General features: G+C 36.9%; 1 annotated feature.

Annotated features, from left to right (window-relative positions):
* Positions 1448-3347: an enhancer, noted in NCBI's record as "VISTA enhancer hs1648". NCBI's record gives its function as "enhancer in: midbrain (mesencephalon)[4/5]" and the evidence as "EXISTENCE:transgenic organism evidence [ECO:0001131][PMID:17130149]".

Genomic DNA, 11586 nt, shown 5'->3' on the forward strand with positions numbered 1-11586 from the left:
TTTGTGATTAAATCCCTACAAAGGACATGAATTCATCCTTTTTTATGGCTGCATAGTATTCCATGTTGTGTATGTGCCATATTTTCTTAATCCAGTCCATCATTGATGGACATTTGGGTTGGTTCCAAGTCTTTGCTGTTGTGAGTAGTGCTGCAATAAACATACCTGTGCATGTGTCTTTATAGTAGCATGATTTATAATCTTTTGGGTATACCCAGTAATGGGATCACTGGGTCAAATGGTATTTCTAGTTCTAGATCCTTGAGGAATCACCACACTGTCTTCTACAATGTTTGAACTAATTTACACTCCCATCACTGTTGTCTTATTTTAAGAAATTACCACAGCCACCCCAACCCTCAACAACCACCACCCTGATCAGTCAGCAGCCATTAGCATCAGGACAAGATCCCCCACCAGCAAAAGGATTACAACTCAGATGATTACTAGCATTTTTTAGTTAAGGTTTTTAGATGTAATTCCATTACACACTTAATGGGCTGTAGTATAGTGTAAACTAAACTGTTTTTTTTTTTTTTTTTTGAGATGGGGTCTCACTCTGCTACCCAGCCTGGAGTGTGGTGGCATGATCTTTGCTCACAGCAACCTTTGCCTCCTAGGCTCATGCCATCCTCCCACCTTAGCCTCCAGCGTAGCCAGGACCACAAGTGCACACCACCATGCCCGGCTAATTTTTGTATTTTTTGTAGAGACAGGGTTTTGTTATATTGCTCAGTCTGGTCTTGAATTCCTGGGCTCAAGCAATCTGCTCACCTTGGCCTCCCAAAATTCTGGTAATACGGGAGTGAGCCACCATGCCCGGCAGTGTAAACATGACTTTTATATGCACTGGGAAACAAAAAAATTCATGTGATTGCTTTATTGTGATATTCATCTTATTGCAATATTTTATTTATTATGGTGGTCTGGAATTAAACCCACAATATTTCTGAGGTATGCCTATGCATTAGTTTTGCTTGTTTTTGAGTGTTATGTCAATGGAATCATACAGTATGTTCTCTTTTGTGCCTAGTTTATTTCACTCAATGTTATGTCTTTACATAGTGTGACAAAGTTTTTTTCCTCTTGTTTAATTTTTATGTTTTAACTTCTATAACAGTTCAGTAATAGATGCATATAATTTATAAATAAGCCAGGGATGTGTGCATAAAAGTTTGCAGTTCTTGGGTTAAAGTATGGCACCATTTGTGTGAATGTCAACTTTAAATCCCAGATAGACTCATTAGCTTTTTAAAGAGAGAACTACTCACAACTACAGACTATGATGACCTCATCTAGGTATTTGTATTTAATAAACATTTATTTATGAGAACCCACTATGCACAAGTGTTTGTAGGCACTGTGAGAGTTACACAGGCAAAATAAAAAGATGTAGCTCGGTCTTTCAAGGAGTCTATCACTGGTGGGAGAAACAGTGCAGTAAACTCATATGATCACTCCAGACAGAATTGAGAATCTACAAAAGAGACACAACTAAAATGATATAGAAGCCTGGATGAAGGATGACCAATCTTCCAAGAAGCTAGAAAAGGCCCCTCGAGACTTGTACTAGATAAACTTTGAGCCCCTTTATACTTTCTAGCTTCCAATATTTAATCAGATTTCTCATTACAGACATAGGATCTTTATTCTCACTGTGCATTGCTTTATGTTTCAGGTTTATGGATACACGGTATATATTGTGCTCAGTCAAAAGGGGGCAGCATTCACCCTTCTTCTGAAAATCAGAGACCACTTTGGCCACATCTCTTTCTTTCTAGGAAAAGAATACTTTTACCAGATAGCGTTTCAGAACATAGATATAAATTTTAAGCCTCTTGTTTTAATTGTTTGTTTATAGAGATAGCAACTGATTTGCACCTTCATGTCACAGAGCCCAACATATTGCACAGGTATAAATGAAGTCAAGCTGTCTCTGTGCCCAGTTTCCCTTATTTCTGCCTTTGTCCCTTGATTGGGCGTGGCAGTCTTGCTCAGACTCAGATTGCTAAAGGGCGGTGGCTGAAATGAACAAAAGGAATCAGACCTTTACTCTTAGCCTGAGAAAAAGATTGCCAAGGGAAGCTTGGGGAGAAAGCGCAATGCTGAGTGGTTGCATCATTGTTTTGACTACCTAATGCTTTTTTTCTCTTCTGACTGTTTATCCTTTTTAAGCTTCTGTTTATAAGCATAACAATTATATGAAAGGTAAATAAGTTACATGCACTACAGGGATGTATGACTGTGCTCTGTCTTGGCGGCATTCATCTCTTTATTAGCCAAGTAACCTTTACAGTTTAAGTACTACACAGTTGCTGCAGTCCTTTTCTTGCTGACGCAGTAGTAGAGGCAGTGGTGGTGAAAACTGAGAGAGGTTTAATGCTGAAGGTCTCAGACTGTGTATCTCTATGTCTATGACCTCTAACCACCAGACCAGCAGATAACTGATTTCATTTTGTTAGTGAAACACTGATTTTAATTGCTGACTTATACAGCTTCCATGTTATACTTGATTGGTTTTGAGAAAATCAATGTTGATGGCCAAAATTCCAAATTAACTATTTCTTTCTAGATTTAATCATACTGTATACAGCCCTAAATTGCCCTCTAAGCGACTTAAAAAAAAATTGAAGAGTAGAGCTTTACCAAATGTCTCTGAATGATAAAGGAAGTTGACCCACCCTATAATTAGCTTTTGTAAATATCAAGTCAAAGGTCAGAGCAAAGGTCATCTGTTTTCTTTCTTTTGTGAAGAAAACAAGGGATTGTAGTCACTATGACTGATTTCAGAATAGTAGCTAAAGATGAAGTCATTGCTTTCTTTCAAAGCAGAAATTGTAAAATTAAATAATTTGGAATAATCACAGAAATAATTACATTAATATGAATAGCAAATAGCAGGTGATAATTTGTGTAGCATTTACAGATACTGTGACCCTTGGTTTTAGACCTTGTGCAGTGTTTTTCTCTGTCAGGTACATGATGCTGGGAGAGCAGCTCTCTAGGAGACCTCTGATGACATCATGTCACTGTCCTCTGAGGCCACAACACAGCTGCCATGCCACACACAGGCTCAAAACACACAGTGGGGCATAGCCAAAAAGTTCACAAAGTAAAGAAATGTCAACTTTCTACGTTTTAGCATTCATTTGCCTGCATTAACCAACATTGTGCAATATATAAAGTCTAAAGCCCATGTGAGAGATAAGACAGAATTATTTGCATTTCTGCTGAAATTAAGCATGATGAAGTAGAAACTTATTACTTTTAAAACCAAAAAATGAATCTAAATATGTGTGTATCAATCAAATGATGAGTTAGGACTTCCTCATGAACTGGAGAGGAAAATTAGATGACCAACTATCCTGGGTTGCTAGGGACTGAGAAGGTCTCCAGGATGTGACATTTTCAGTTTTAAAATCAAGGCTATCTTAGGCAAACTGCAACAAGTTGGTCACCCTAACTGGAAGAGATCTTTTTGGCTATGCTGTCCAATTATCTTATTTTGCAGCTGAAGAAAATAAAGATTATGGAAATCATAAGATCCCAGCAGGATTATTTTTCTCCCTAATTCTTGTCAATGTCTTTTCTTTTCCTAGCTTCTCAGGTCATGTATTAAACTTAGACCACAGGATCATGCAAATGGCCCCTATTAGGTGGGCCAGGGGGTGAGCACCTAGAGTGCTCCTAGAGTGGAGGGATGGCTCCAAGAGTGGCTGTCCTTCTTATATCTGAAGGTGACTTGGCTGACTGTGGGAATGCCTGGCTATCTTCCAGGAGAGCCGAGAATGCCTCTATCAATAGTTTGAACACTGTTCTGCAACTTTCTGAGTGACACTGCAAAGTACCAAAGATAGAAAGAAGGCACAGAGGGGGAAAATGGGCATCTCAGTCTGCTCTGGCAGCTATAACAAAATACCGTATACTGGGTGGCTTATACACAACAGAAATTTATTCCTCACAGTTCTGAGGCTGAGAAGTTCAGATCAGGGCATCTGCTGACTCAGGTGAGGGTCCCCATGCCGGTTCATGGATGGCACCTTCTACATGTCCTCAAGTGGTGGAAGGAACTAGCTAGCTCTCTGGGACCTCTGTTATAAGGGCTCTGCCCTCATGTCCTAATCACCTCCCAATGGTCCCACCTCCTAATGTCATCAACTTAGGAGTTAGGTTTTAACTTATGAATTTTGGGGGTCACAAATGTGCAGATCATAGCAACGTTCAGATCATAGCAACTGGGTTCTGAGACTTGAGCAATGTCAGGGATTCACAGCATTTCAAATGTGTGGGCAAGTTGCTGACACCTTTTCTTCTGGGTCATAAGGAAAACAGAAAATGTGATTAAATAATTCAGCCTGATTTTGGGGTTTTATTTGTAATGACTCCTAGAAGGATTTGCCTTTCCAAATAAGGACCATGGAAAGTAATAAGTACATAAATGAATGAAGAGGCTGAGTGAGAGGTATTTTATAGCTGCGTGTGTTGGGGTGGGTGGGGCACTGAAGGGAGAGTTAGATGGTGATGTACTATATAGACTGCTTTGTGTTGGGGTGGGTGGGGCACTGAAGGGAGAGTTAGATGGTGATGTACTATATAGACTGCTTTCAGTGTTTTCCTCAAAACCCTGGAACATTTCCTCAAAACACATGATGCTAGGAGAGCAGCTCTCTAGGAGACCTCTGATGACATCATGTCACTGTCCTCTGAGGCCACAACACAGCTGCCATGCCACACACTGGCTCAGAACACACAGTGGGGCATAGCCAAAAAGTTCACAAAGTAAAGAAGTGTCAACTTTCTACCTTTCAGCATTCATTTGCCTGCATGCTTATACCAGAAAGAAAATGAGAACTACTAATACTGCTTATACCAGAAAGAAAATGAGAACTACTAATAATACTTCATTTTCATTCATCAAGGAGAATAATTACAGAACTAAAGAAGAGAGAGCAAACATGGTAAAAACATAGTACAAACAAAATAAAACATACTCAAAACAGAATAGATGGAGGCAAGGGTAGTCAAAACTACTAAGAACCCAGATATGTGGTTATTCTTCATTAAAAAATAGACCTATCTCTCGTATTCCTATTTTATCTACTGAATGTATTATCCTACCTCAATCCACTGAACTCATCTCTAATTCTCAACCTGAATGCTGTTCCCTAAGGAAAGTCTTCTCTAACCTCCTGATTCTATTTTAGGTCCCCCTATTAAATGCCTTTAAAACACTGTATACTTTATCATAATGTGATACAAAAATGAAACTTGGCATGAATTAAACTAAATTACACTTATAATAATTTAATGTCTGTATCCCTGCTAGACTGTAAATTTCTTTTTTTTTTTTTTTGAGATGAAGTTGTCTCGCTCTGTCACCCAGGCTGGAGTGCAGTGGCACGATCTCGGCTCACTGCAAGCTCCACCTCCCGGGTTCACACCATTCTCCTTCCTCAGCCTCCCGAGTAGCTGGGACTACAGGTGCCCGCCACCACGCCTGGCTATTTTTTTTGTATTTTTTAGTAGAGATGAGGTTTCACTGTGTTAGCCAGGATGATCTCTATTTCCCGACCTCGTGATCCGCCCGCCTCAGCCTCCCAAAGTGCTGAGATTACAGGCGTGAGCCACTGTGCCCGGCCACTATAAATTTCTTACAGTCAGAGACCATGCCTTTTTTGGTCATTGTTGAAGCTGCTGGTACATAGTAAGCACTTGATAAGTGTTGTTTGCTGAGCTAATGAACCAATCATTTGAAATGACTTCACATTTTCAGATTTTGTGCAAGATTCCTGTTGTATAGATCTGTAATATATGGCAAAATCAATAAAATGTATTGTACCCCAAAACACTTCCAATGTGTGTGTACAGTATTCTATTAGTAGAACCAGTTCTATAAAGACTACTGAATCCAAATCTTGGCTCTTGTGCTATCTCTGAAAAGTTACACCTGTAAGCCTCAGTTTTGCCATTTACGAAATGGCATTATTGTGTCAGCTTCAAAAGTTTCCTCTGAAATTTAATGAAATAACAGAGGATAGACATTAAGCATGATACCTGGAACATGATGTATTTTCCACAATTATTAGGTTAATTCGAATAATTAAAAATTTAGAAATAGTTAAATGCCCCAAACTTCTCAAGATGGTGAAAAATGTATGTGACTAGAGAATAGGATGTAGTCTTAGTTGTTCTATTGAGTCATTATATAACGTTAGGCAAATTACAAGTATCTCTGGGAATAACTTTCTTTATTTACAAAATGAAATAGCTAAACTGTCGTCTTATGATCCATCGTGAGAAAAAGGGTGTTGTGGATGTCCTAAATTTATATAAAATTGAATGTTTATGTGGTAATTTTTTCTAGTCATATCTTTTATTTGGTTCTTGAAAGGGATTGAGTTGCAAGTCAGTTTACTGGGAAGCAGACTCTGAGATGGAAATTAACGTGCAGGAAGTATACACTACACAGAATAAAACACTCTCAGGATTAACATCTATCGGAGGAGGGAGAGAAGAAACAGGGTTGGGCAAAGAGAGAAGTTGGCTGTAAGCAATCATCCAACCTTTCTATGTTGAATATTTTGCTAGATTGTTTTTAGGATAAAAATGACTAACATGATAGCTGCAATGATTTCAGCATGTTATAATTAAACAGATAGTATGGTGGAAAACTGTGGTACTATCTTCCCAGTATCCCTCCCCTGTGAACTGCTCCTTCCTTCATTCCAATGGTGCCATTTATGGAGTAGATGCTGTGTTCTTATAGACTTTACTACTGGCAAAAACCACAATTACTTTTGCACCAACCTAATACCTTGTCACAATATTGCTCAAGGGTCGAGTAAAAACATAAATGGTCAGTTTGAATCAGTTTTTAAATTTTCCTGGGAAAGACAGTCAATCTGTTGGTAGAAGCCAAAATGTGAAAGTCAGGATCTGGCACTGCTCATGATCTCTGTGAGTGAGGAGGCCTTGAAGGAACTCAAAACAATTTCAAATGTATATATACCTGAAACTCTAAACAATAGAGTTTCAAATTACATGAAACAAAATCGATAGAACTAGAAGCAGAAATATATAAATCCACAATCATAGCTGGAGAACTCAATACTCTCTCAGTAACTGAGATAACAAAGAGATATAAAATTAGTAAAGATATAAAAGACATGAACAACACTATCAACCAACTTAAATGAATTGACATTAATAGAATACTTCACCCAACAATAGAAGAATATATATACTGTTTAAATACACATGGAACATTCATAAAGGTATATCATATTCTTGGCTATAAAGAATTTAAAGATTTGAAATCATACAGAGTATATTCTCTGACCATAATGGAATTAAGCAAAAAAAAAAGAAAAAAATCCATAACAGAAAGATATGTAGAAAATCAACACATATTTTGGAAGGTAAACAATACATTTCTAAATAATCCATAGGTTAAAGAGGAAGTCACAAAGGCAATTAGAGAGAAAAATATATATGTACATAGATATAATTTTTTTTTAAAGAAATGGCATCTTCTCAGGTTGCCCAGGCTGGTCTTGAACTCCTAGGCTCAAGTGACCCCCCCCACTTCAGCCTACTGAGTAGCTGGGACTACAGGCATGTGGCACTGTGCTCAGCTCAAGAAGTATTTTAAGTTGAATGAAAACAAGAACCCAATGTATCAAACATGTGGGATGCATCTAAAGAAGTAGTACATGTGTAATTTATAGAATTAAACACTTACATTAGGAAAAAAGAAAGATCTGAAATCCATGATCTAGATGTTAAGAATCTAGTAAAAGAGGATTAAATTAAGTCTCAAAGTAAACAAAGAAAAGAAAAAAGTAAAGATAAAAGTGAAAATCAAAAAATTAAAAACCAGAGAAAAATAGAGAAAATCAATGAAACCAAAAATAGATTATTTCTTAAGATCAATAAAATTGATAAACCTCTTCCCAGACTAAGGGGCAAAAAAAGAAAACACAAAATTATGAATATCAGAAATGAAAGAAGGAACATCACTATTAATTCTATAGACATTAAAAGGATAAGGGATTATTACAAAAACTCTATATATGTCCACGTATTTGATAATTTAGATGATATGGGTAAGCTCCTTGAATGACAAAAACTATTGAAGCTAACACAAAAATAAATAGATAACCTTAATAGTCCTGTACCTATTAGAGAAACATAATTTATAGTTAAAAACCTTTCTATTAAGCATTTAGGAAAGAAATAGCAAGTCTACACAAACTCTTCCAGAAAATAGAAGAGAGAACACTTAACTTGTTTTAACTTGATAACAACACCAGACAAAAATATGACAAATAAATAAAACCAAAAGTCAATATCCCTCATGAACAGATGTTCAAATAATCAAGAAAATATTAGAAAATAGAATCCAACAATATGTAAAAAGGATAATATGTTATGACCAAGTGGGGTTTATCCTGGAAATGCAAAACTGTTGTAATGTTTAAAAATCAGTGTAATTCATCAAATCAGCAGACTAATGGAGAAAAATCATATAATTTTCACAATGGATTTTAAAAAAGCATTTTACAAAATTCAATTTTCATTCATGGTTTAAAACAATAGCAACGTTAGCAAAAATTCTCAGTGAACTATGCATACAGTGAGACTTCATCAACCTGATAAAGGTCATTTATGAAAAACATAATAGCTAATATCATACTTAATAATGAATAATGAATACTCTTCTCCTGGGATTGGAACAAAAGCAGTGATGTCCACTTGCATCACTCCCATTCAACATTATACAAGAGATCCTGATTAGTGGAGTAAGGCAAAAGCAACAAATTCTGGATGCATGGAATAGAGTGAATAAATCTCAAATGTATTATGCTCAGTGAAAGACGTCAGACTCAACAGGATGCATACTGTGTGACTGCATATGACATTCTGAAAAAGATAAAACTATGGGGACAGAAAGCAGATTAGTGGTTGCCAGGGCCTGGAGCTGCAGGTAGAGTTTTGCTATAAAGGGGCATAGGAGTTTTGAAGGGTGATAGAATTATTTTATATCTTGTTTATGATGGTTACATGACTATATGTGTTTATTATTTTTATATCTTGTTTATGATGGTTACATGACTATATGTGATTGCCACAACTCATAGATTGGTACATGAGAAAGCATCTATTTTCCTATATGTAAATTACACCTTGATATGCCTCAGAGAGAAAAGAAAATCCCACTCAAAGAGAGAAACCAATGTGAGTTTGTCTTTGAAATGAAATTCTGGTGGTGTTTTTGCCGTGGTTGTGATTTTTTTCTGGAAATTTGGGTTTCTCTCTGCTCTTTTGGAGTTTAGTTATTTAAAAAATGATAATTTTGTCTGCTTTTGATAAACCATGGAAGAGAGCTACCTGGATATATTCTATGCATTACCTGAGTGATTCAGGATCTTTTAAATGTAATCTGTATACTTTTCCCCAAGCAAGTTCAAATAATGTTTCTATCACCTGTGATGGACAGTCCTGAGTAATGCATGGAAACAGACACTTGCACAAGTAACTGTATACAAGGTTGTGTGAGAAGTGCTGTTAAGAGCAGTAACAATGTTGTGGAAGCAGAGAGGCGAATGTGATTAAGTCTGACTGGGATCTAGGTAGTAATTGAGTTGGCCTCAAAGACTTTCTGCACTAGAGTCTGGGGAAACGTATCCCAGTTTGAGAGAACAGTAGAAGCACATTGCAGAGGACAGGAATAAATGGATGCATGGATGACAGTATGTGATGTCTTCAGGGATAAGAGGTGCAGTGGACCTAAAGTGTAGAGACCATCGAACCAGGTAAGTGGTGGAAGATGAACTTAGAAAGGTAGACTTTTACCAGTCAGCAGAGAGAACTTTCTGTGCTCAAGATTTTAACTCTATTTTATAAAGAGTTTTATAAATAGCAGAGGAGTGGCATACTCAGATAAGAATTTCTGAAAGATATTTTCAATGTAATCTGAGGAATTATCAGAGAGGCTTCTTGAAATAGGTCAGTTGGGAATCCGTTGCATTAGATTAGAAGGTCTGCAGATGACTATGCCCTACATAGATAGAAAGGGTGTAATGATATTGTTGTTATGATTATAGCAGTTACCACTTTCCCCACTCCTTATGAGCCAGGCATTGTACTAAAGTACTTCAAATACATTATCTTATTTAATCCTGACAATCATATAAAGTAGGTATTATTATGACAATGTAGTAGCCAATTATTTTCCACTTAGTCCATGTGGAGGGGCTGACCCTACTGCCTTTCCCACCCTACAAGAGGTGGTGATATTAGGGATAAGCATGTGTCCTGGGCTATCTAACATGCATATCCTTTTTTCCCTTGGTTAGCAAATGGTGAGGGACAGGTATATAGCTCATTTTATACATTTGGATTTAGTCCCATGAATTTGGTGGAAAATATCAATACGAGAAGATAAATTGTATCTGCTTTTGATAAGAGATGGATGAAAACTGGCTGGAATCATTTGTTAGTTGATATTAATTCTACAGCCCTAAGTTTCCCAATGGCTTTTCCTTGAATATTCATCCTGATAAATACTCTGTGAAAAAGTATTCTGTTTTACGCATTAACTGGGAAAGGATTGTATACTGTATGACTCTCAGAACTTAGTAAAGGGACTAGAAATCCTGCAGTCAAGAAATCTATTTAATTTTGTTTAATCCAGCTTTCTCAAATGTATGTAAAGAAATTACCCTTTTTATACATGTATTGACTAGTATCTACCACATTTTGGGAAATACAGTTGTAGGCATTTATCCACCTAACTATAGTTAAACCATTCAAAATTTTAATAGCAGGATAAAAGGCACCCTTATCTCTAGTATCTCTTGAGGTTGCATTTCTTAGTCTTTTCCCTGGAACACTTATAAAGATGCAGATCATGATCTGAAAACAAAAGAAAATGTTAAGAGCCAGGGGCATGTTTTGGTCAATTTGGATTTACATGTTTCCATATAACAGTATTCTGTTGCCTTCCAGAGACACTAGAATCCATCATCTGACAGCTGTGGAGAGCATAGTTTCTCATTTGGCTTACCACCATGCCTGAGACTCCCCACAAAAGAGACCCAAACAGATTACCTAAAGAAATGAGGGGTCACTGAGTGATAATGTGAAGTAGGAGAATTCACATTCTCATCTGCACAGTCACCCAGGGGTCTCATTTTTGAATCTGGAATGTGAAATGGGCTTTGGAAATAATTGAAAAAATGCCCAGTATGCCCAGTACAATGCTGGGTGTGGTAAATACAGCAGTCAAAATGTCTGATCACTGTTGTGTCATCGCTGTCTTCACAGAGCTTTCTTACTGTAGCTTCAAGTAATGTCTCTAAGAACCTTTTTTTAAGTTATAATTTACCTCAAATTCCCTTCCTTATAATATTTAATGAAATGACACATAAAATGCAAGGAAAGTGAGTAAAAGAAGAGCAACATGGTTTCTGAAAGAGAAAAGTATTTTATAAGACACAAAAGGAGATTCATGGGGAAGGTCATCAATGGTGGCACTGGTGACTAACATAGGATCTGAAATAATACCAGTGATAATTAAAAACA

This window comes from Homo sapiens, chromosome 3, assembly GCF_000001405.40.
Source record: "Homo sapiens chromosome 3, GRCh38.p14 Primary Assembly".
In the NCBI taxonomy this organism is placed as follows: Eukaryota; Metazoa; Chordata; class Mammalia; order Primates; family Hominidae; genus Homo; species Homo sapiens.